Raw genomic sequence first — 27,213 nt, forward strand, 5'->3', positions numbered from 1 at the left:
GCAAAAACTCCTGGTAATCATTTTCAACAACTGCATTATAGTTTATCCAATGAATACACCATGCTTTATTTAACCATTCCTCTAATGTGAGACAAATATAAGTTGTTAATAACTTTTTACTCTCCTAAAAAATGCTATGATGATATTTGCCTGCAAATTATGGAGTAATTACAGAGTATTCTCCCCTCAGATAAATTCCTAAAAGGGAAATCACTGGAATAAAAAATATAAAGCATATGGACAATAATCCCAATTTAAAAAGATGTTAATGTATATAAATAGAGTGTAAATAAAATAGTGTTGATGTACTGAAATATGAACTGTATAAAAAGTATTGGTAATTGTATATGGGGTGTACCTGTTTATCTGTAACTGTTATCCAAACAAATTAAATACTGTGGATGCCTCTATGTGCTGTTTTTCCTCATACAAGTAAACACAGAAAGTCAAATTCTTCAGCCTCCCTCTCTGTGATCCTGTTTTAATTCTCCTACTTGAATAATTTCTTTCTGACTTACAGAGGGGATGCTTCATCTCTGAGGTTGGAAACTCTGTAGAGCAGGATTCCCCAACTCCTGGGCTACAGACCAGCACTGTCCATGGCCTGTTAGGAACCGGGCTGCACAGCAGCAGGTGAGCGGTGAGCTGTATTTATAGCCGCTCCCCCTTGCTCCCATTACCGCCTGAGCTCTGCCTCCTGTTAGATCAGCAGCGGCATGCCATTCTCGCAGGAGAACGAACCCTATTGTGAACTGCGCATGCTAGCAATCTAGGTTGTGCCCTCCTTATGAGAATCTAATGCCTGATGATTTGAGGTGGAACAGTTTGATCCTGAAACCATTCCCCCCAGCCCCCCAGTCCGTGGAAAATTGTCTTCCACAACACCAGTCCCTGGTGCCAAAAAGGTTGGCAACCACTGATGTAGAACAAGATTCCTACAGTGGGTATTACCCTACAGAGGTACTACTACAGGGGGTAGAACAAGATCCCTCCAGTGACCAGGTGACTTTAAACATGGCTCACATCCCTTTTAGAAAGTTATGGCAGGGAAGCAAGTAGAGAGCAGGTGGTAAACTGAGGACTGGTGCCTACATCGGTACCAACACTGGGTCCTACAGTCACTTTTGTGCAGATCAGGAGATGAGGTGAAGAGAAGGAAAGCTTCTCATTTGCATAATGCCTTGAAATGACCCGAGGTTTCTAGGGGGCACCGAGAAACCAGAGATGTACCCTGTTGTCTGTCTGGGAGATCCAAGGGGACAGCTGGCAGTGTTGAGAAGAGATGAAGGTGACAGCTGTAGGTCCTTCACCCTCAGCTTCTATTTGTTCACCTATAAAATTAAAATACCGAACACTCAGGCTTGTAAGAATTAAATGAAGGACACAAATGCCTGGCACAGTTGCTTGGTAAGTGCTCAATCCAACGATACTCAATCCTATTTTACAAAAAGGGTTTTTTTTGTTTGTTTTGTTGTTTGTTTTTTTACCTCCTTGCTATACCGATGCTAAAAGAGTTTAATAGTCCTCTGGTCACATTTTCCAAAAGCAAGAATACACATTAAAAATGTATAAAATGGGCCAGGCTCAGTGGCTTACGCCTGTAATCCCAGCACTTTGGACGGCCAAGGCAGGCAGATCACCTAAGGTTGAGAGTTCCAGACCAGCCTGACCAACATGGAGAAACCCCGTCTCTACTAAAAATACAAAATAGCCGGGTGTGGTGGTGCATGCCTGTAAACCCAGCTACTTGGGAGGCTGAGGCAGGAGAATTGCTTGAACCCGGGAGGCAGAGGTTGCAGTGAGCCGAGATCACGCCATTGCACTGCAGCCTGGGCAACAAGAGCGAAACTCTGTCTCAAAAAAAAAAAAAAGTATAAAATGAAACATGTTGAATCAGCAGCAGTGGCAGCTTGTTTAAGGAAAGGAACAAACAAAATTAATACAGAAAGTCAAAAAATGAAGCACAACTCTTTTAAGTGCCAGTCTGTTTTTAGGTTTCTTTCTTTTTTTTTTTTTTTTAAATAGAGACAGGGTTCTCTGTTGCCCAGGCTGGAATGCAGTGAGGTAATCACAGCTCACTGCAGCCTCGACCTCCCAGGCTCAAGCAATCCTCCCACCTCAGCCTCCCCAGTAGCTGGGACCACAGATGTGCACCATCACACCCAGCTAATTTTTGTATTTTTTGTAGAGATGGGGTTTCACCATGTTGCCCAGGCTGGTCTTGAACTCCTCGGCTCAAGCTATCTGCCCACCTCAGCTTCCGAAAGTGCAGTGATTACAAGTGTGAGCTGCCATGGCTGGCCAAGGCTGTCTTTTAAAAAGCTAAAGATGTGTTGGTTCAAGACCAGTCTGAGCAATATGGCGAGACCTCATTTCTACTAAAAAGAAAAAAAAAATCAGCTGGCTGTGGTGGCCCATGCCTGTAGTCATCCCAGCTACTTGAAAGGCTGAAGTGGGAGGATCGCTTGAACCCAGAAGGTTGAGGTTGCAGTGAGCCTTGATTGTGCCACTGCACTCCGGCCTGGGTGACAGTGAGACCTCGTCTCAAAAAGCCTCGGAAGGAGTGGCCTAGGGAGATGAGCAAGCATTTTGTTTCTAGTTTCTGAATGGCCCTGTGCATTGAGAGAGGTCTTCGGCCTCCCAGCCTCTCTGGCTGAAGGTGGCGATTCTGCATGGAGTCTCTCCACCACTTGGTGGCATTGCTCACAGTGACTTCCTACTTCTAAACACCATTGAATTGGAGCAAGTAGATGATTTGCCACATTTTTCCCAGCTAGTTTGGAGGCTGAATATAGAATTTTACTGGGGCACACCAGAATGTGTACGTTGGGGAGCAGCGATCCCCGTTTTCCTTGATAATCTGCCGACAGCTTCCTTAGTATTGAAATCACAAAGTCAGAAATGCACACACCTCTATGATGAGAGATCCATACAGAAGAGAGCAACAAAAAGAGGCCTTTTAAGTTTGCCAGACTTCCTGACCAGTGGGAAGCAAGAGAGTAGATAAGTGTGCAACAGGCACAAACCCAGGCCTATAAGAACCTAGTTGGGAACAGAATGTAAGAGAATGGGGAGCGATGGGGACTCTAGTGTGTTCTGGGCACGTGCCCATCTAAAGTCTCCATGTGACTGTTGCCCTGCAGGAATGTGGGCCCCAGTGTTCACCAAACCTTTTTGTTTGTTTGTTTTTTTCCCGTGAAGAGAAGCCAGAAACCCAGATATTGATACAAAGTATCCAGTTTAGAAGTGTTGGTAGTTTTTTTAATTTTGAACATTGTGCTGCCCAAAGAAGGTATCTGCAAGCCAGGTACAAACCAGCAGTTCATGCCCTCTGGTGAGCAGAAATGTCGGAGGTCGAATTCTAGTTCTGCTGTTGCAACAGCTGTAAACGAAAGTCTTCAGATTTCTAATGCCCAATGGAAATGCCACTTTATTTCCAAAGGTTATTAAAAGGAATAGTTCATGTATGTAAGTAGGCACAGAGCTTGCCACCTATTAGGTACTCAAAAGCATTCTTCCTTCACTTAAGGAAACAATACAGGCATAATACAACAATAAAGTTACGATCAAGTTCATTATCAGGAGGCATACACCCAAACAATAGGGGAGTGAGCACCTACCACGTACAGAGCTCTCTGCTAGGTTCTCTGGGGGCAGCAGTTCCCAACCTGGCAATTCATCGGCATCGTCGGAATCAGCCAGCAGCTTGTTGGATATGCTGAGTCCAGAGTCCCGCCCATATTACACCTAACGTTCTGTGCCTATTACACCCAGATTTATGAGATCCTCCTCTCCCATGCAGTCAAAGAATCTGCATTCTAATAAGTTCCTCAGAGGAAGCTCTTTTGCAGCCAGTTTGCACTGGTCTGTGGGTTGGTCACTTATGGAAACCACTGCTCCAGGGAATGAATCATGATTTCCAGTCTCATTAGGGAAAGATGATATGCATATGCACACATGTAAAGAGGAGTGACAGTAATTAGCCAAAAGCTCTGTGGACATAATTGCCTCTGATGAAGTGCTGACTGATGACATCAGACAGTAGGCTATTGACAGTGTACCCCGGGGAAAGCTAAATGCAAAAGAGAAGCGAACTGCCTCATGAAGTGAGATCAGGATTACACGGTCAGAAATGTGGAGAGGGTGATTCAGATGGACAAAGGAGCAGAGGTAGGATTCAAGTGATGTGTTTCGGAGGCAGTGCAGCCTGTTTGTGCTGAGTGGAAGGTGCACGAGGAACATAGTAGACGGTAACATGAAGGCAGGAGCTGTGAAGGCCTTTGAAGGTCAGGCCAGTTGTAATAAAACTATTTCACATTGTCAGGTATCTTGCGATGGTTGCCAAACATTTTTCTATGGTTTGCATAAATACATATCTATTTTATTTATGTATTTATTTATTTTATGTATTTATTTTATTTATTTATTTATTTTTTGAGACGGAGGTTCGCTCTTGTTGCCCAGGCTGGAGTGCAATGGAGCAATCCCAGCTCACTACAACCTCCGCCTCTCAGGTTCAAGCAATTCTCCTGCCTCAGCCTCCTGAGTAGCTGGGATTACAGGCATGAGCCACCACGCCCAGCTAATTTTGTATTTTTAGTAGAGATGGGGTTTCTCCATGTTGGTCAGGCTGGTCTTGAACTCCCAGCCTCAGGTGATCCACCCATCTCGGCCTCCCAAAGTGCTGGGATTACAGGCTTGAGTCACTGCACCCAGCCTATTTTAGTTTTCTTTGAGACGGAGTTTCACTCGTCGCCCAGGCTGCAGTGAAGTGGCACTATCTCGGCTCACTGAAACCTCCACCTCCCGGATTCAAGTGATTCTCCTGCCTCAGCCTGCCAAGTAGTTGGGATTACAGGGTCCCTTGAAGCCCAGGCCAAATGGCCCTGCTGTGGCCTTGCCCCAACGCACCCCCCCACTTTCTCTGGGTCAGCCCCAACTCGTAGTCCAGTCCTCCCAGTTCCTCTGCTTCTCTGAGTATAACTTGAGCTGACGTGTGGTGCATTCCAGTTACCTGACTTACATCAAGCTGTCAATGGCAATCAAGCGTAATGAGAGCATGGCCAAAGGTCTGCAGAGGGCTCTGCTGCAGCAGCAGCCAGAGGATGACAGCAAGTGCTTCCCCCGGCCCCAGGACCTGATCTGGCTTTATGACATCATCTTACAGCTGACCCTTGAGGACCGGGAAGGCAAGGGCCTGTCGTTTTCCTTTGCCTGTGTCAGACACAAAATGACTTAACTTTGTATCATGGAAGGGCTGTGACAAGCAGGACCTGTTAGTAGCTGGGAAAAGACAAAGGTCTTACACCAGTTCCACAGTCTGTGAGCCCCTACCTCTCAGACATGCTGATCTGCAGAGAATAGTGACCTCAGATCATCACTGAGCACTTCACCTGTGTAAGATGCTCCCAGGTGCCATAGAGCATCTGAGACCTGAATCCATGCCATCTCGGCCCCCAGGGAGTTTGTCAGTCAGTAGGACTGTGAGACACACACAGTCAAGGCATCTGAGTAGATGCTAAGCAAAATAAAAGCTCAGCGCTGGAACAGATCCCTTCCAGCTAAGATGGGCCAAGAAGTCTCTGAAGGCGGGTGAGCTATGAGTTGAGTTGTAAAGGGCAAATCTGTTTCCAAGATGAGAGGGGAATGGAGGCGACAGCAGGTGTGGCTGCTGCCAGGTCACTTCACAGGCTTTTCCCCATTGTATTGACCTCGGGCTTTTTTTTTCTCACCATTGTCTGTTCTTACAAGGTCTTCTGTGAAAAATTCAACCTAAGATCTACTCTTCATGAATTTTCTTGTTGCATCTGTTGTACAGAATCTGGTGGAATTGCTCCAGCTTCCTGGTTTAGAGGAAGACAAAGCCTTCCAGAAAGAGATAGGCCTCAAGATTCTGGTGTTCAAAGCTTACAGGTAACGTCCCATGGGATGGGCAGAGTTTTCCTCTGCCTCCCAGGTTCTGTAAGCATTGGGAGCATGACCCAGCCCACAGCAGATGGGATCATTGGCCTTGAGTGTATGGTTACCTTGCCTGTGATCAGAGGAAGGTCAGCCCAGCACGTTCAAGGGGAGTTTCTAAAGGCTGTGGTCAGCAGTGGCCAGTGATGATGACTGCCCTTTGGCCAGGTTGGAGGAGTGGAGCACACACGTTAAACTTGGCTTCCTCGCTGGGTGTGGTAGCTCACGCTTGTAATCCCAGCACTTTGGGAGGCAAAGGCAGGATTAAAAACTTAAATCTAAAATGAAAACATATTAAAACCTTGGACGATAACCTAGGAAATACCATTGCGGACATAGGACCTGGAAATGATCTTCATGACAAAGATGCCAAAAGTAATTGCAAGAAAAACAAAAATTGGCAAATGGGACCTAATTAAACTAAAGAGCTTCTTTACGGCAAAAGAAACTATCAACAGAGTGAACAGCTCACAGAAAGGGAGAAAATATTTGCAACCTAGCCATCTGACAAACGTCTAATATCCAGCATCTGCAAGGAACTTAAATTTACAAGAAAAAAAAACAAACAACCCCATCAAAAGTGGGCAAAGGACATGAACAGATACTTTTCAAAAGAAGACATAACATGTGGCCAACAAGGCTATGAAAAAAATGCTCAAACTCACTAATCATTAGAGAAATGCAAATCAAAACCACAGTGAGACACCATCTCACACCAGTCAGAATGACTATTATTAAAAGGTCAAAAACTAACAGAAGCTGGCAAGGTTGTGGAGAAAAGGGGATGTTTATGCACTTCTGGTGGGAATTTAAACTTGTTTAGTCATTGCGGAAAGCAGTTTGGCGATTTCTCAAAGAACTTAGAATTGCCATTTGACCCAGCAGTCCCATTGCTTTCCCCATTGCTTTTTTTAAGTGGAGTTGTTGAAGGTTGGATGGTTGTAGGTGTGCTGCATTATTTCTTAGCTCTCTATTCTGTTCCATTGGTATATGTGTCTGCTGTTGTAACAGTACCATGCTATTTCTGTTACTGCAGGTTTGTAGTATAGTTTGAAGTCAGCTACCAAACTACCAATGACATTCTTCACAGAATTAGGATAAACTATTTTAAAATTTATATCAAACCCCAAAACAGCTGGAATAGCTAAGGCAATTCTAGCTTACTTTTATAAGAATATAGTGTATAATACATAGAATATACAGCATATATATTAATCAACTTTGTTATGGGTAAGGTTTCTGGTCAACAGTAGTTAATCAGGTCAGTCAGCAGTTACATTACAGGGAAGTCAAAATTTAGGCAAATTTTCGGCTGTGTGGGGTTCAGCCCCTCTAACTTCCACATTGTTCAAAGGTCAAGAGTACTGAAAGGGAAAAAAAACCTAAAATGAGCCATGTGTGATTCAACTGGAATTAGAATCACCAGGAAGAACTCATGGTTTTCAGTATATTCTAATATAGAAATATCGATGAATATAAGCATGTATGTTTGTATATTTATCCATCTAGCTGTATTTTTCTGCTCTGTTCACTGAGGAAGCCTATGAGCAATGACAACTACAACAGCCATACGTATCTACCACAATTACTGCCCAGATATTGGTTTCTAATTACTGTCCCCTAAAGAAAGTCAGGGCTTCTGGAAAAAAATGAAAATGGCTGATTCAAGGGCTGGGGCAGAGAAAATACAAAGTATGGTTGAAACAGCTTATGCCAGAAAGTAAGGAAGTATTCAAAGAACAATAAGGACAGTTCAAAAAGACATGAACTCAGCTTGAAATGGCTACCACTGGTCAAAGCGGAGGGAACCTGAACAGCAAAACAATAAATTTTCCCTTCTCCCCTATTTGTTGGTTGGTTTTGTTTTGTTTTACTTATCCACGTAGAAGGAATGAAAGATGAAGACAATCATGATTTGGCAACCACCATAATAATAATTGACCCAACAAAAATAATCAATAAAATGCTAAATCTAGTGGGTGAGATGTTTAGAGTAACCAGATATTTACAGAGCCTCAAACTATGTTCACATAAGACATTGGTGAAAAACAAATGGTAGATAGTCACTTTATCATGGACAGACCTGGCAGATTCTCAACCAAAGTCAACACTGGCCAGTAATGGAGCCAAGTAACAGCATATGCCTCCAGATATGCTGCATTGGGAAGAACTCAGCCTCACTTGTGTGACCTTCCTGCCAGAATGGTATAACCTGAACTGAATCATGAAGAAACATCCTATGAACCCAAACTGAGAGAAAATCCACAAAAAACTGACCCATACTCTTCAAACACATAAATGCCATGAAAATCAAGGAAAGACTCAGGAATCATCCTGGACTAAAAGAGACTAAAAAGACAGAATAATTTGACACAGATCGACCTCCTCCAAAGGTCAGCAACCTCAAACATCAAAGGTACATAGGCCCACAGAGATGAGGAAGAATCAACGTAAAAATGCTGAAACCTCTCAACATCATGGATTATGAAAGTCAACATCATGGATTGTAAAATCACCCATCTTAAATTATTTGGCTATAAAAAATATTATTGAGACAACTGAAAAAAGTAAAATAAGGTTTATGGATGAGATAGTAACAGTAAACCATTTTTAATTTCCTGATTTTGATAGTTATACTATAATTATGCAAGATAATGCCTTGTTTTTAGGAGACACACATAAAATTATTTAGAAATAAAGAGGCATCATACCTGCAACTTATAAACCATTCAGAAAAAGTCTATATTATGCACCTACATTTATATTTACCTAGAAAGAGAAGAGGAAAAGGGGGAGAAAGGATAAAGCAAATACAGTAAAATGTTCACATTTGGGGAATATTATCCAAGAATGTTTTGTAGTTTTCTTACTATTTTTCTATAAGTCTAAAATTGTCAAAATAAAACATTTCTAAAAAGAAAAAAATTGTTAAAACAATTGTCAAATTATAACCTATTAAATGAAATAAACCACAAGTAAATATCAAATCAAGTAAATGAATAAATTGAGTTTGATGAAGAACAGAGATATCTACATAGTCTCGAATTACCTCCCCACAAAATATTAATACTAATTAATTACAAGGTGAAAAAGTAACATTACAGAGGAGAAAGCTAGCAGACAACACTGTTTGTGATCAATGCCAACATCACCAGTAAAAGGGCAAATCAAAATTGTAGGTCACTCATGTTCTATGGGGCTAACAGAGCTCTAATTTCTTCCCGGGATGGAGTGCCTGAGGGGTGGGGCAGGCTGCCACCTAGGCCTTTCAAGCTTCTCAGCCAGTTCAGCCTGTGGGCCTTTGGACAGCCCAAACTGAATGGGAACTGAAGGGATCCCCAACACAGCACAGCTGGTCTACCAAAAAGTAGCCAGAATCATTCTTTAAGCAGGTCCCTTATCCCATTTCTCCTGACTGGAGGAGACCTCCCAACTGGGGTCTCCAGCCACCTCCTACAGGCACTTTCGAGCCAGCAATAGGTCAGTACCCTGCTGGGCTGGAGCTTCCAGAGGAAGTGGCAGGCAGCCATCTTTGCTGTTTCACAGACTTCACTGATGATACCTCCAGCTATGGGAAAAACTGAGGCAACTAGGGTATAGTGCGAACCCCCAGCAAACTGCAGCAGCCCTGCAGAAGAGTGGCCAGACTGTTAAAAGAAAAACAAGCAGGAAAAAACAACAATAACAATTTAAAAAGCCACAAAAACCCCATCCTCAAGGTCAAAGTTTAAGATAGACCCACAGAGATGAGAAATAACACCAAAATCCTGAGGACTCGAAAAGCCAGAGTATCCCTGCAACACCTCTCCAGCAAGGGCTCAGAACTGGGTTGAGCCTGAGATGGCTGAAATGACAGAGTAGGCTTCAGAATGTGAATAACAGTGAACTTCAATGACCTAAAGGAGCATCTTGTAACCCAATGCAAAGAAACTAAGAATCATGACAAAACAATACAGGAGCAGACAGCCAAAATAGCCGGTCTAGAGAAAAACATAACTCACCTGTTAGAGCTGAGTGAACTTCACAATGAAATCACAATTATTAACAGCAGAATAGGCCAAGAAAAGAATCTCAGAGCTTGAAGATGATCTTTCTGAAATAAGACAGGCAGACAAGAATAGAGATAAAAGAATGAAAAGGAATGAACGATACCATCAAAAAATATGGGATTACATAAAGAGAACGAATCTATGATGGATTGGGGTACCTGAAAAAGACAAGGAGAATGGAACCAAGTTGGAAAACATACTTCAGCACAGGATCCAAGAGAACTAACTTCCCCAGGTTAGTTCTAGCAAGACAGGCCAACACTCAAATTCAAGAAATCCAGAGAACTCCAGTGAGATACTCCACGAGGAGATCATCCCTGAGACACATAATCATCAGATTCTCCAAACTCTAAATGAAAGAAAAAATGTTAAGGGCAGTCAGACAGAAAGGCCAGGTCACCTACAAAGGGAACCCCATCAGATGAACAGCCGACCTCTCAGTGGAAACCCTACAAGTCAGAAGATACTGGGAACCAATATTCAACATTCTTAAAGAAAATAATTTCCAACCCAGAATTTCACATCTGGCCAAACCAAGCTTCATAAGCAAAGGATAAATAAGATGCTTTTCAGACAAGCAAATGCTGAGGGAACTTGTTACTACCAGACCTGTCTTGCAAGAGCTCCTGAAGGAAGCAGTAAATATGAAAAGGAAAAACCATTACCAGGCACCAGAAAAACACACTAAAGTACAAAGAACAGTGACACTGTGAAGCAACCACATAAACAAGTTAGCAAAATAACTAGCTAGCATCATGATGATGAGATCAAATCCACATATAATACTACTAACCTTAAATCTCAATGTGTTTTCCAATGAAAGACACAGAATGGCAAGCTAGATAAAGAACCAAGACCCATCAGTATGCTGTATTCAAGAGACCCATCTCACACACAAAGAAACACATAGGCTAAAAATAAAGGGATGGAGGAAAATTTACCAAGCAAACAGAAAGCAGAAAAAAACAGAGCTTGCAATCCTAGTTCCTAACAAAACAGACTTTAAATTAACAAAGATCAAAAAAGACAAAGAAGAGCACTACCTGTTGGTAAAGGGTTCAATTCAACCAGAAGAGCTAACTATCCTAAATATATATGCACCCTATACAAGAGCACCCAGGTTCATAAAGCAAGTTATTGGAGACCTTCAAAGAGACTTAGACTCCCACACAATAATAGTGGGAGACTTTAACACCACAATGACAATATTAGACACATCATGGAGACAGAAAATTAACAAAGATATTCAGGACCTGAACTCAGCTGTGGATCAAGTAGACATGATAGATATCTACAGAACTCTCCAACAAAAAACAAGCGAATATACATTCTTCTCATAGCCACATGACACTTACCCTAAAACTAATCATAAATTAGGAAGAAAAACACTCCTCAGCAAATGAAAAATAACTGAAATCATAACAAAGAGTCTCTCAGACCACAGCAAAATCAAATTAGAACTCAAGATTAAGAAATTCACTTAAAACCACACAACTATATGGAAATTGAACAATCTGCTCCTGAATGACTTTGGGGTAAATAACAAAATTATGGCAGAGATCAAGAAGTGTTTTAAAACTAATTAGAACAAAGAGACAACATAACAGAATCTCCAGGACTCAGCTAAAGCAGTGTTAAGAGGAAAATTTATAGCACTAAATGCCCACATCAAAAAGAGAGAAAGATCTCAAGTTAACAACCTAATATTACAACTAAAAGGACTAGAGAACCAAGAGGAAACAAACTCCCAAGCTAGCAGAAGACAAGAAATAACCAAGATCAGAGCTGAACTGAAATAGAGACACAAAAAAACCTTCAAAAAAATCAATGAATCCAGGAGGTTTTTTTAAATTTACTTTTTATTTCAATAGGTTTTTAAGGAACAGGTGGTGTTTGGTTATATAAATAAGTTCTTTAGTGGTGATTTTTGAGATTTGGGTGCATCCCTCACCCGAGCAGTGTACACTGTACTCAGTGTGTAGTCTTTTATTTCTCACTCCCTTCCCACTGTTTCCCCTGAGTCCCCAAAGTCCACTGTATCATTCTTATGCCTTTACATTCTCATAGCTTAGCTCCCACATATGAGAACATATGATGTTTGGTTTTCCATTCTTGAGCTACTTCACTTAGAAGAATGGTCTCCAATTCCATCCAGGTTGCTGCAATTAGAAGAATGGTCTCCAATTCCATCCAGTTTGCTCCTTTTTATGGCTGAGTAGTATTCCATGGGGTGTGTGTGTACATATCACATTTTCTTTATCCACTCATTGATTGATGGGCATTTGGGCTGGTTCCATATTTTCACAATTATGAATTTTGCTGCTATAAACGTGTGTACAAGTATCTTTTTTGTATAATGACTTCTTTTCCTCTGGGTAGATACTGAGGAATGGGGTTGTTGGATCAAATGGTAGATCTACTTTTAGTTCTTTAAGCAATCTCCACACCATTTTCCATAGTGGTTGTACTAGTTTACATTAGCATCAACACTATAAAAGTGTTCCCTTTCCACCACATCCATGCCGACATCTATTATTTTTTAATTTTTTTAATATTGCCATTCTTACAGGAATGAGGTTATACCGCGTTGTGGTTTTGATTTGCATTTCCCTGATCATTAGGGATGTTGAGCATTTTTCCATATGCTTGTTGGCCATTTGTATATTTTCTTTTGAGAATTGTCTATTCGTGTCCTTAGCCCACTTTTTTATGGGATTGGTTTTTTTCTTACTGATTTGAGTTCTTTGTAGATTCTGAATATTAGTCCTTTGTTGGATGTGTAGGTTGTGAAGATTTTCTCCCACTCTGTGTGTTGTCTGTTAACTCTGCTGATTATTTCTTTTGCTGTGCAAAAGCTTTTTAGTTTAGTTAAGTCCCATCTATTTATCTTTTGTTTTTGTTGCATTTGTTTTGAGCTTCTTGGTCATGAAGTCTTTGCCTAAGCCAATGTCTAGAAGGGTTTTTCCAATGTTATCTTCTAGAATTTTTAAGGCTTCAGGTCTTAAGTTCTTGATCCATCTTGAGTTGATTTTTGTATAAGGTGAGAGATAAGGATCCAGTTTCATTCTCCTAAATGTGGCTAGCCAATTACCCCAGCACTATTTGTTGAATAGGGTGTCCTTTCCTCACTTTGTTGAAGATCAGCTGGCTGTAAGTATTTGGCTTTAATTCTGGGTTCTCTATTCTGTTCCATTGGTCTATGTGCCTATTTTTATACCAGTATCATGCTGTTTTAGTGACTATGGTGTTACAGAATAGTTTGAAGTTAGGTAATGTGATGTCACCAGATTTGTTCTTTTTGGTTAGTCTTCCTTTGGCTATGTAGGCTCTTTTTTGGTTCCATATGAATTTTGGGATTATTTTTCATCATTTTGTAAAGAATGATGGTGGTATTTTGATGGGAATTGGATTAAATTTGTAGATTGCTTTTGGCAGTATGGTCATTTTCACAATATTGATTCTACCCATCCATGAGCATGGGATGTGCTGCCATTTGTTTGTGTCATCTGTGATTTCTTTCAGTAGTGTTTTGTAGTTTTCCACGCAGAGATCTTTCACCTCCTTGGTTAGGAATATTCCTAAGTATTTTATTATTATTATTTGTAGCTATTGTAAAAAGGGTTGAGTTATTGATTTGATTCTTGGCTTGGTCGCTGAAGGTGTATAGCACAGCTACGGATTTGTGCACACTTGTGTGTAACTCTGTATCCTGAAACTTTGCTGAATGCATTTACCAGTTCTAGAAGCTTTTTGGATGAGTCTTTAGGGTTTTCTAGGTATACAATCATATCATTGGGAAACAGCAATAGGCAGACTTCTTCTTTACCACTTTGGATGCCCTTGATTTCTTTCTCTTGTCTGATTGCTCTGGCTAGAACTTCCAGTACCATGTTGAATAGAAGTGGAGAAAGCGGGCAATCTTGTCTTCTTCCAGTTTTCAGGAGGAATGCTTTCAACTTTTCCCTGTTCAGTATAATGCTGGCTGTGGGTTTGTCATAGATGGCTTTTATTACCTTAATGTATGTCCCTTCTATGCTGATTTTGCTGAGGGTCTTAATAAAATAAGGATGCTGGATTTTCTCAAGTGGTTTTTCTGCATCTATTGAGATGATCATGTGACTTTTGTTTTTTAATTCTGTTTATGTAGTGTATCGCATTTATTGACCTGCAGATGTTAAACCATCCCTGCATCCCTGGTATGAAACCCACTTGATCATGATGGATTATCTTTTTGATATGTTGTTAGATTCAGCTAGCTAGTATTTTTTTGAGGATTACTGCATCTCTGTTCATCAGGGATGTTGGTCTGTAGCTTTCTTTTCTCATTATGTCCTTCCTTGCTTTTGGTATTAGGGTGTCTATTAGTCTGTTTCAGTATTAGGGTGTGTATTAGTCCATTTTCACACTGCTGATAAAGACATACCTGAGACTGGGCAATTTACAAAAGAAAGAGGTTTATTTGACTTACAGTTCCACATATTTGGGGAGGCCTCAAAGTCATGGTGGAGTCAAGGAAGAGCAAGTCACATCCTACGTGGATGGCAGCAGGCAAAAAGAAAGAGCTTGTGTAGAGAAAGTCCTGTTTTTAAAACCATCAGATCTTGTGACACTCACTCACTGTCATGAGAACAGCATGGAAAAGACCCGCCCTCATGATTCAATCATCTCCTACTGGGTCCTTCTCACAACATGTGGGAATTATGGGAGCTAAAAGATGAGATTTGGGTGGGGACACAGAGCCAAACCATATCATGGTGATTTTGGTTTCATCAAATGATTTAGGGAAGATTTCTCTTTCTCTATCCTGTGAAATAGTGTTAATAGGATGGGTACCAATTCTTTGAATGTCTGATAGAATTCAGGTGTGAATCCATCTGGTCCTGGACTTTTTTGTTGTTGGCAATTTTTAAATTACCATTTTCAATCTTGCTGCTTCTGATTGGTCTGTTCAGAGTTTCTATATCTTCCTAATTTAATCCAGGAGGGTAGTATATTTCCAGGAATTTATCGATCTCCTGTAGGTTTTCTAGTTTATGGATGTGAAGATGTTCATAGTAGTCTTGAATAATCTTTTGTATTTCTGTGGTGGTATCAGCGGTAATATCTCCCATTTCATTTCTAATAGAGCTTATTTGGATCTTCTCTCTTCTTTTCTTGATTAATCTTGCTAATGCTTATCAATTTTATTTATCTTTTCAAAGAACCAGCTTTTTGTTTCATTTATCTGTTGTATTTTTTTGTTTCAATTTCATTTAGTTTTGTTCTGATTTTGTTATTTCTTTTCTTCTGCTGGGTTTGGATTTGGACTGTTCTAGTTTCTCCAATTCTGTGAGGTGTGACCTTAGATTGTTTATTTGTGCTCTTTCAGACTTTTTGATATAGGCATTTAATGCTATGAATTTTCTTCTTACCTCCACTTTTGCTGTATCCCAGAGTTTTTGATAGGCTGTGTCACTATTATCGTTCAGTTCAAAGAATTTTTAAATTTCCCTCTTGATATCATTGTTGACCCAACAATCATTCAGGAGTAGGTTATTTAATTACCATGTATTTGCATGCTTTTGAGTGTTCCTTTCGGAATTAATTTCCAATTTTATTCCACTGTGGTCTGAGAGAGTACTTGATATAATTCTGATTTTCTTAAATTTACTGAGACTTGTTTTGTGCCCTATCATATGGTCTATTTTGGAGAATGTCCCGTGTTCTGATGTATACAATGTATATTCTATGCTTGTTGGGTAGAATGTTCTGTAAGTATCTGTTAAGTCCATTTGTTCTAGGGTATAGTTTAAGTCCATTGTTTCTTTGTTGACTTTCTGTCTTGGTGATCTGCCTAGTGCTGCCAGCGGAGTATTAACATCCCCCACTATTATTGTGTTGCCAACTACCTCATTTCTTATGTCTAGTAGTAATTGTTTTATAAATTTGGGATCTCCAGTATTAGGTGCATATATATTTAGGACTGTGATATTTTCCTGTTGAACTAGTCCTTTTATCATTATATAATGTCCCTCTTTGTCTTTTTAAAACTGCTGTTGTCTTAAAGTCCGTTTTGTCTGATATAAGAACAGCTACTCCTGCTCGCTTTTGATGTGTCCATTTAGACGAAGTGTCTTTTTCCAACCCTTTGCCTTAAGTTTATGTGAGTCCGTATGTGTTAGGTGAGTCTCCTGAAGACAGCAGCAACTTGGTTGGTGAATTCTTACCCATTCTGCCATTCTATATCTTTTAAGTGGAGCATTTAGGCCATTTACGTTCAACATTAGCATTGAGATGTGAGGTACTATTCTATTCGTAGCGCTATTTGTTGCCTGAGTACCTGAAAACCTGGAAGCGTTCCCTTGAAAACTGACACAAGACAAAGATGCCCTCTCTCACCACTCCTATTCAACACAGTATTAGAAATTCTCACCAAGGCAATCAGGCAAGAGAAAGAAAGAAAAGCTATTCAAATAGGAAGACAGGAAGTCAAACTATCTTTGTTTGCAGATGATATGATCCTATATCTAGAAAACTCCATCATCTCAGCTCAAAAACCTCTTAGCTGATAAGCAACTTCAACAAAGTCTCAGGATACAAAATCAATGTGCAAAAGTCACTAGCATTCCTATACACCAACAACAGGCAAGCCGAGAGAAAAATCATGAATTAACTCCCATTCACAATTGCCACAAGAAGAGTATAATACCTAGGAATACAGCTAACAAGAAAAGTGAAGGACCTTTTCAAGGATAACTATAAACCATTATTCAAAGAAATCAGAGATGACACAAACAAATGGAAAAACATATGCTCACAGACAGGAAGGATCAATATCGTGAAAATGACCACACTGCCCAAAGCAATCTGTAAATTAAATGCTAGGCCCATTAAACTACTATTGACCTTCTTTACAGACCTAGAAAAAGCTATTTTAAAATTCATATGGAACCAAAACAGAGCCCAAATAGCCAAGACAATCCTAAGCAAGAAGAGCAAAGCTAGAGGCATCATGCTACCCAGCTTCAAAATATACTACAAGACTACAGTAACCAAAACAGCATGGTGCTGGTACAAGAACCGACACATAGACCAATGGAACAGAATAGAGAACCCAGAAATAAGACCACACACCTACAACCATGTGATCTTTGACAAACCTGACAAAAGGAAGCAATGGGGAAAAGATTCCCTATTTAATAAATGGTGCTGGGAGAACTGGCTAGCCATATGCAGCAAATTGAAACTGGACCCCTTCCTTAACCCATATACAAAAGTTAACTCAAGATGGATTAAAGACTTAAATCTACAACCCAAAACTATAAAAATCCTGAAAGAAAACCTAGGCAATGCCATTCAGGACACAGGCAAGGGCAAAGATTTCATGACGAAGATGCCAAAAGCAATTGCAACAAAAGCCAAAATTGACAAATGGGATCTAATTAAACTAAAGAGCTTCTGCACAGCATTAAGAACCTATCAACAGAGTAAACCGACAACCTACAGAATGGGAGAAAATTTTTGCACTCTATCCATCTGACAAAGGTCTAATATCCAGCATCTACAAGGAACTTAAACAAATTTACAAGAAAAAAAAAACTCAACCCCATTAGAAAGTGGTCAAAGGACACAAACAGACACTTTTCAAAAGAAGGCATACATGCAGCCAACAAACAAAAAAACCTCAACATCACTGATCATCTGAGAAATGCAAATCAAAACCACAACAAGACACCATCTCACAACAGTCAGAATGGCTATAATTCAAAAAACTGAAAAGATGCTGGCAAGATTATGGAGAAACAGGAATGCTTTTACACCGTTGATAGGAGTGTAAATTAGTTCAACCAGTGTGGAAGACAGTGTGGTGATTCCTCAAAGATCTAGAACCTGAAATACCATTTAACCCAGCAATCCCATTACTTGGTGTATACCCAAAGGAATATAACTAATTCTAGTATAAAGATACACACACACGTATGTTCATTGCAGCACTATTCACAACAGCAAAGACAAAGAATCAACCTAAAAGCCCATCAATGATAAACTGGATAAAGAAAATGTGGTACATATACACCATGGAATACTATGCAGCCATGAAAAGGAATGAGACATGTCCTTTGCAGGGACATGGGTGGAGCTGCAGAACATTATCCTCAGCAAACCAACACAGAAATAGAAAATGAAATACTGCATGCTCTCACTTACAAGTGGGAGCTGAATAATGACAACACATGGACACATGGCGGGGAACAACACACACAGGGGCATGTGGGATGGTGGCGGGTGAGAGAAGGGAGAGCATCGTGAAGAACAGCTAATGGATGCTGGGCTACTATTAATACCTAGGTGATGGGATGATCTGTGCAGCAAACCACCATGGCACATATTTACCTATGTAACAAACCTGGACATCCTGCACATCCTGCACATGTACCCCTGAACTTAAAAGATGAAAATAAAAAATAATAATAATTGCAGGTCACCTGATAGAATGCAGTGAGAAGATCATGGGATAACTTCTGTGATACTCTTGCCAAAAAAAAAATTATCATCTAAATCTTATCATAAAAAAAGTTCAGAGAAATCCAATGGAGGGACATTCTGTATTATTGGACTTTACTCTTCAAAAGATTTAAGGTCATAAAGGTCAAAGAAAAACTGAGGAACTGTTCCAGACTGAAAGAGTCATGACAACTAAATGAAATTCATGGACCTGAATGGGATCCTTCTGCTACAAAGAACATTATAGACAATTAAGAAAACTTGAAAAGAAACTGAGAATTAAATGATCAAGTGTATTGATGTTAACTTTCTGATTATGAAGTAGTTATATAAAATGTCCTGACTTGTGGGAATACCCACATACCAGATGTGATGGCATAATGTCAGCAATTTACTCTCAAATGGCCCACAGGGGGGAAGCTGTTTTTCCTAAAATGTGGAAATTTTCTCCAATTTTAAGACTGTTTCCCAAAAGTTAATCTAATAAAGAAATGAAACAATAAATAAAAAAGCAAAAAGCCTTAGGCAAACCTTATTTTTCCACAAGGAAAGATCTAAATAAATCAGTGCTTAAAATTAAAATTATCTAAGTTTGATTGCACTATAACAATCGTAATACATCCAAACATTGACAATGACCACAGTACCAGTATACCAAAATGATGTCTATCTAAACTTAAATCTATCACTATGTATAAAGATAAAATTATAAAATACAAACAAGCCATCAATTGGCTCCACTAAATTACTAATGGCAACTTGATTATTTGGCTGTTTAAACAGCAAACATTTGGGCAGTTCGAGTATGTAAAACTCAGTAATACTGGTTTTCATTTGCAAAATCCACTTAAAAGTTAGCTGAAGAGGCCAAGAAACATTATTTAAAATACTACATAAATTTTCATCAGACATGTATAATATAGAATATTTCCCTTTAGTAAAAATGTTCACATCATATATTTAATGGGAAACAAAATATCATGTGAATAGCCCAAATAAAATTGCCTTATCTTTCAGAGTATGTATTTTCTTCTTAAAATCTGTGCATACTCTTTTGTTACTTCCAAAACTGGATCTTGATTCAGATTTTCCTTGTGTGTAAATCCTAGAGGAGAAGCTATATAGGATCCAGGTTCATATTTAGTAGCAGCTGAAAAAAAAAAGCAAGAATTATATTATTATTATTATTATTATTGTTATTGTTATTATTTTAAGATAGGGTCTCACTCTTTCACCTATGCTGGAGTGCCGTGGTGTGATCACAGGTCACTGCAGTCTCGTCCTCCCAGGCTTAAGCAATTCTCCTGCCTCAGCCCCAAGTACTTGGAACTGCAGGCATGAGCCACTGTGCCTGGCAAGCTTTTGTATTTTTTATAGGGGCAGGGTTTCGTCATGTTGGCACAGGCTGCTCTCAAACTCCTGGGCTCCAGTGATCTGCCTGTCTCAGGCTCCCAAAGTGCTGGGACTACAAACGTGAGCCAACATGCCTGGCCAAAGAATTATATTCTACATATTTCATAGTTAACTAAGTGCAAATCAGTAAAAAAGAGTTGAGAGCTTTTTCAGTGTTAACAAGAATGAAACGTATGTATGACTACAATGCTAACTTATTATTAGATAAGAATCTGCCCATAGTTGCACACTAAATTAATGATCACTGTGGTTGTGTATCACAGCTTCTGGTTTTCTCATTCTTCATTCATTTATTCAACAACCGCATGCTAAGGTACTAGACTATGCCCTGGAGTTACAAGATGAAGATGATACAGTCCACCCCTCAGCAATCATATGCTATAACCTGAAAAAGCAGACAAATAGGCAATTTCCATACCAAGTCATAGATACCCTGACAGGTATAAAACAGGGCACTATTGGAATGCAAGAGGGATACCTATCCCAGTTTTGTCTCGATACTGTAGGCTTTTCGGTGGAGGCATGGTTAGTGGATACCTGAAGGATGAGAAAAAAAGGTTGGCAGATAGAGCAAAGAAGCAAGTGCAAAGAGCTGGAGAAGGACGAGCACTGTGGAATTCTGTGCAGTCCAGTTTGGCTGGATCCTAGAGCAAAGGGGCAGAGTAAAGTAAGTGGTGAGAGATAAGCCTGAGTAACTTGACAAGAACCAAATGAACGTGGGTGTTTATATTACATGTTAAGGAATTTGGAACTTTTTCTGAGGGCAAAAGTAAACCAATGACACTGTAAATGACTGGAGATTTAAAGTGTTACCTCTCAAGCGACTGCTTATAAACTGTAACTGCTTGAATAGGTTACTAGATGAGACTGGGATGTTTTGGCCTTAAAAATCACTACCATAACCCTGAGAAATTGATGATGCCTCTGTTTTCTGAGAACCGTTTCTGTGTGCTGGCTGACAATTCCATAGGGATGGCAGAAGTGAAGAGTAGAGCCAGACTTCTTGAGCTATTTTTTTCAAGCTATGGAACGTGATGAATTCATGAGGCATAAGTATGCTCTTCATTATACATGTTCAAGTTTTCACATCTTTCATTAGATGTATATGAAAGAATATTTAATGTAGTATCTACTAGCCCAAGAACGGAAAGGGATGTCGTTTGCAGTTTATTTCAGATATATATTACTTAATCAATTTAATTCATAAATTTTGGTAACATACCTGCTACTTCTGCAGTTAGATCATTTTGCAACTTCTGCTGCATCTGAAATAAGTCAAATATTATTTATAACGTTTAAGAAGAGACATTATCATGGTAAGGAGCATTAATTACAAAATGCGGCCTTTAAATAATACTTTTACAGACTAGACCTAATTTGAAGATTGCTTAAATTAAAAATATCATATAAATTCCTACCAATTTTAAGTTTAGATAATGGAGAACATATATGTGTTATGCTGTTTAGATTAATCTCACAAAAGTACAATTAATATTGGTCTGTTGGATCTATGTCATTTCAAAAGTGTGATGTTTTCCCTTATTAGTACAGAGGTTACACAATTCAAGTCATATTCTGCAATGAATGCATTACTTTCCCATTCTTATCAAAACTCTGCCCTTTATCAAGGTCTAACCAGTTTTTCACTTTAATGAATAGTTCCTTACAATGAACTCTCCATTCTCCACTTTTAGAAAATAATAATTTCAAAGTATGTTCTTTGCTATTAATTCAGCACAGAATCTTTAATACATACTTGAAGAAAGCAGTATTGTTGTGATGCCATGTGAAAGTTCCACTGGCAAAAGATTAAAAATATTACGCTATTATGATTAACATTTCTTCATTCATACGGACACAAAGATTTCAGAAAATTTACATAAAAACAAGGATAAATACAGGTTAGAGCCAGTTTTCAATCTTAGTTTCTGTGATTCATGAATGTCTAGAATTAAAAACTAGGAAAACAATTTAGAGTTATTTAACTGCAACTTTGATTTCTTTTCAGAAATTAGTACCCATTTTTTAAGCATCTGACAAGTTATAGTTAGCTACTTAATTATGAAAGGTGTGGGAATATTTCAAACTTATTGCCAGTGTCCCTATCTAGAGTGCTCTGATTTAATTTTTTTTTAGAATAGGTATTCTCTCACTAAATGCCTAGAACAGGGTCTGAGATAGTTTGTGGTGATAAAGATAATGATATCTAATGCCTTTACAAATTTTAGGTGTCAAGTCAATTTTTTTGTTTTACTAACAGGTTTACCAATATTTTGAGACTCCTTTCCATAACATTTCTGTGACAAAAACATTATAGATAGGCTTTATAGAGTAGGTAACATGACAACAGCATTACCATCCAGGCCTTATAAAAGTAATAATTCAAGAAATGATCCTTTTCAAGCTATGTCCCACAGAAATCTAAGGTTCCACAGAGGATGCTGAAGGATTAAGGGATAAGAAAGTCACAGCTTCAGAGCACTGATCCTTCCTTTAGTCAGGCAGCACTACTTCTGTTTTCTATAATGTGGTTTTATGCAATTTAAAAAAGTTCCATTCTTAAAAAAAAAAAGAGATTTACTTAAACGTATGAATGTCACTGATTTAGTCAAAGTCCTTAATTTTACATAAGAAACAAAACAGGCTCAGAGAGACTGCAGCTTGCCTGAGGTCACAAAACCAATTAGTTACAAGGTAGGAGTGGGCTTCAGATCTTTCACTGAGCCTGGAGTTATTCTATGCCAGCACCTTCCTTCATATTCAGAAAAGAAATACAGGTTTTTAAAAATAGGCTGGGCGCGGTGGCTCACACCTGTAATCCCAGCACTTTGGGAGGCCGAGGCGGGAGGATCACAAGGTCAGAAGATCAAGACCATCCTGGCTAACACAATGAAACCCCGTCTCTACTAAAAATACACAAAATTAGCCGGGCATGGTGGCGGGCGCCTGTAGTCCCAGCTACTCAGGAGGCTGAGGCAGGAGAATGGCGTGAACCCAGGAGGCGGAGCTTGCAGTGAGCCGAGATCGTGCCACTGCACTCCAGCCTGGGTGACAGAGTGAGACTCCACATCAAAAAAAATAATAATAATAAAAATAAAAAAATAACTCAGACAGTCCAGGTGTGGTGGCTCACGCCTGTAATCTCAGCACTTTGGGAGGCCGAATTGGGTGGATCACAAGGTTAGGAGTTCAAGACCAGCCTGGACAATATGGTGAAACCCCGTCTCTACTAAAAATATACAAATTAGCCAGGCGTGGTGGTGTGCACCTGTAGTCCCACCTACTCAGGAGGCTGAGGCAGGAGAATCGCTTGAACCCGGCAGGCAGAGGTTGCAGTGAGCAGAGATCACGCCACTGCACTCCAGCCTGGGAGACAGAGTGAGACTCTGTCTCAAAAACAACAACAACAAAAAAAAGAGAAAATGCATCTATAAACTGTCATGATGCTCTATAATGTTTAAGCATGAGACAAAAAATAGTAGCTCTCCAAATTTGTAAGTTATGAATCAAATTTAAAGAACAATTAATATCATAACTTCTGGCTAGTACCAGTCAAGACACTCAATTTATAAAGAACCCATTTTTCAAACCGCAGAACAGAAAACTTGAAGGAGAAAATCTTTAGTTGAACCAAGCAAGCAGAAATTAAGAAAACTGTTCCTTAAAAGAACTATTCATTCTCCTCCAAATAAGACGTGGTTTAGGAAAATCAATCAAGTCAATTACCCATGTTGTGAGTTATTTATAGAAAAACTGAAAACACAAAACAGATTTCTCTTTACCGTCTAGCATACGTCTGTCCAACTTCTCATCATTAATTTGTACATACAAAGACATGGGATTAATTTCAATTATCACTTAAATCCAGCCATAAATGATAGGAGAACCTTCATTTTCCTGGCCTCAGGTTTCAAATGAGGACTTAGACTCTCTCTACCTATAGCTTCCTCTTGAGAGGATATCAGATCTACCTAATGGGTGAATTTGGGCAAAGCACACAGTGTGCTTGCTTGGCTCAGGGTCTCTTTCAAAAGATGTGTCTGCCCACAGTGACATGAGTTCAGGTCTGCTGTCATCTCTGCAGTAAGCAGCACGCACCTGCGATGGGTGTCAAGCATTTGTTTTCTCCACTTAAAACTCTGTGGGTTAGTGCCTAATCTGGCATAAAATACTGTGGCTGCACATCTGAGCCTCATCCTCCCATTAGTTATCATGAGTCTGCAATAGAGCTAGTGTGTTGATGTCCATCTATCTGACTCCTGTGTTCTGAACTCAGAAGGGAAGGAGGAGCACCATTTGCTGCCTATCCACCACAGCCTGAACAAGAAAGATGACTGTATAACACTTATAGAAATAGTTTCTTCTTCCTTGACTTTTCTAATCTTACCATACATTCTTCACAACTACCTCCACTTTAAAGAGGGGAGGAGTTAGAAAATTTTTTTAAAGAAATATAGTGAAATCAGTACCAAAGGCAAAGTCCAATAAATACAAAGTTCACTCTTCAGCAATAATTTATTGACAGGCTACTGCTAAATTATACTTGAGATTACAGGCTGGAAAATAAGGAGCCAATAAAACTATAAAAAGTACTTCTGATATATAGGACAAAGGATCCCAGGGTTAATCTAGAATGTGAAACCTGTAAGTAAAAATCAGTAAAACATAGGCATAGCAATCTATTATCACTACAATGGTGTTAAGTGGCAAGGCTATGTGGCAGGCCAGGTCTCACTAACGCAGGCCTCCATAACAACTGCTTTGGCACTGACTGAGTAGTTAAGTTAAACATTAAAAGCTGAAAGAGCCAGTGCCCTTATACAGGCTGGAATGTAACAAAAGCCCACCAAGAATCTTGCCTAGGCCTTCCCTGGGCCTTAAAGTATGACAAAATAATGAAGGAATTCTTAATAGGACCTGTTTGGTATTAAACAAGTTTTACTGGGGATCTCAAGAAACTCCCCAGGCCTCCACAAATAAGTTTATTGGGGGTCTAATGGAACTCCCAAACCTCCATGATTTAGCAGGAGACAAGATAAGGGTAATCGCTCCAGCACCTGGACCCATTTAGATTAAATAAATTTACTGAAGCTCCAGAGGAAGGTCTGCAGGACTTAGATCTTAGTTATAGATTAAAAGAAGTTAATCACTTATGTCTATAGACGAATGCACACTTACATGTAGATATATAGCTTAGAAGGTATATAAGCTCTGGAAAACTTTGTAATTTTGAATTGGTGTGGTAATAATTTCCAGGCCTTCCTTGTAACCCTGTAACCGGTTGCAGAAAATAAAACCTCTCTTCCCAATTCATCTGCATCTCATTACTGGACCATGATAAATAGCAGCCCGACTCTCAGTTTGGTCTGGGAACAGTCAGACTCTAGACTTCATATAATGGGGTGAGAGATGCAATAAATACTAACTGTCATGAATGTAGAGAAAACTTGTTTCAACAACCAGTTATAATATATTATTTCTCTGGTGTGTGATTTCATACAAAATTATAACCATTTTTCTTGAGGTTAGAGACAATGCTGAGTACGATAGCACTTCACAGTAGGAATAGTCCAAAGTGTTAAAATCTTGCAAATAAAGGAGATGTATAAACAGATCCAATATTAGTGCTATTTTTAACATTTTGCTTTTGAAAATCGTAGCTAAAAATTTCCAAATATCCTGTTTTGTAATGCCCCACCCAGAAACCCGCCCCACCCAGAAACCCACCCCACCCCCTACCTTTTTTGTAAATCTCAGTTTAGATGGTATGTTACCTCCTCCTCCTTGTATTAGCTGATGTTTTCCTATAGGAAATACTTAAGTTCCTAGCAACTCTAGAAGGCACCTTCTTTCTGTAACTCTAAAAATTCTGTAGACAACAGCTGTATAAGAACTCTTCCAAGGTGTGATTATGGAGACATGCCTTTGTATCTTTTTTTTTGAGATGGAGTCTTGCTCTGTCACCTGGGCTGCAGTGCAGTGGCACAATCTTGGCTCACTGCAACCTCTGCCTCCTGGGTTCAAGCGATTCTCCTGCCTCAGCCTCCCGAGTAGCTAGGATTATAGGCGCCCGCCACCACGCCAGGCTAATTTTTGTATTTTTAGCAGAGACAGGGTTTCACCATGTTGTCCAGGCTGGTCTCGAATTCCTGACCTCAAGTGACCCACTCGCCTCGGCCTCCCAAAGTGCTGGGATTACAGGTGTGAGCCTCTGCACCTAGCACTCATATCTTGATATAATCATGCTTTTAAATCTCTTTTAGTAAATCTAACATGATTGGGCAAAAAATGCCCCACAAGGAAACTAGGTATGCCTTGGAACTACTACATTAACATTAACTTTAAAACAAACAAATTTTCTACTTATCTAGAAATACTAAAAAATGAACACCCCCTTCCCCACAAAACAGAAATTTAAAAAAAAGTTCCTCAAAAATCTTCCCTTGCATCACATCTGCTTTTATTTATTTTATTTATTTTTTTCCCCCACCCATGAGATGGAGTCTTGCTCTGTCGCCCAGGTTGGAGTGCAGCAGCGCAATCTCAGCTCACTGCAACCTTTGCCTCCCAGGTTCAAACGATTCTCCTGCCTCAGCCTCCCAAGTAACTGGGACTGCAGGCGCACACCACCATGCCCAGCTAATTTTTCTATTTTTATTAGGGACGGGGTTTCACCATGTTGGAGGTTGGTCTCAAACTCCTGACCTCAGGTGATCCACCCACCTTGGCCTCCCAAAGTGCTGGGATTATAGGTTTGAGCTACAGTGCCCGGCCTACATCTGCTTTTTATACTCTCTCAGCACCATCTTGTAAAATGATACATTACCTTGTTTTTCTGGTAAGTACTGTGAAAGGAAAATATCTTGGGCCTCCAAAATCACTAAGCTAAAAGGAAAACTCAGGCTGGAAACTGCTTAGGGCAAACCTGCCTCCCATTCTATTCAAAGTTACCTCTCTGCTCACTAAGATAAATGCAGATCTGACTGTCTCCTTTGGAAAGGCTAATCAGAAACTCAAAAGAGTGCAACTGTTTGTCTCTCACCTATCTGTGACCTGGAAGCCCCCTCCCCGCCACCAGTCTTCCTCCCTTTGCTTCAAATTGTCCCGCCTTTCCAGAGTGAACCAATGTACTTCTTAAATATATTGATTGATGTCTCATGTCTCCCTAAAATGTATAAAACCAAGCTGTGCCCCAACCACCTTGGACACATGTCATCAGGACTTCCTGAGGCTGTGTCACGGATGTGTGTCCTCAACCTCGGCAAAATAAACTTTCTAAATTAATTGAGACTTGTCTCAAATTTGGGGG

The 27,213-nt window shown here is 39.8% G+C and overlaps 1 long non-coding RNA gene and 2 pseudogenes across 2 annotated transcripts in view; 1 reads left to right on the forward strand and 2 right to left on the reverse strand.

Annotated features, from left to right (window-relative positions):
- Positions 1-2,019: 2,019 nt before the first annotated feature.
- On the reverse strand, positions 2,020-4,300 carry FAM106A (family with sequence similarity 106 member A). The gene has a single exon (NR_170998.1). It is a non-coding gene; the product is annotated as a family with sequence similarity 106 member A (long non-coding RNA).
- Positions 5,013-5,916, forward strand: SRP68P2 (signal recognition particle 68 pseudogene 2; annotated as a pseudogene).
- Positions 15,254-27,213, reverse strand: part of CCDC144BP (coiled-coil domain containing 144B, pseudogene) — an 87,818-nt pseudogene continuing 75,858 nt past the window's right edge. The window contains exons 16-17 of the transcript NR_036647.1: positions 21,127-21,169; positions 15,254-19,641 (exon numbers count right to left, since the gene is read on the reverse strand). The product of NR_036647.1 is annotated as a coiled-coil domain containing 144B, pseudogene (transcript). The remainder of the gene's footprint in view (positions 19,642-21,126; positions 21,170-27,213) is intronic.

The sequence above is a fragment of the Homo sapiens genome, chromosome 17 (genome assembly GCF_000001405.40).
Source record: "Homo sapiens chromosome 17, GRCh38.p14 Primary Assembly".
Classification (NCBI taxonomy): Eukaryota; Metazoa; Chordata; class Mammalia; order Primates; family Hominidae; genus Homo; species Homo sapiens.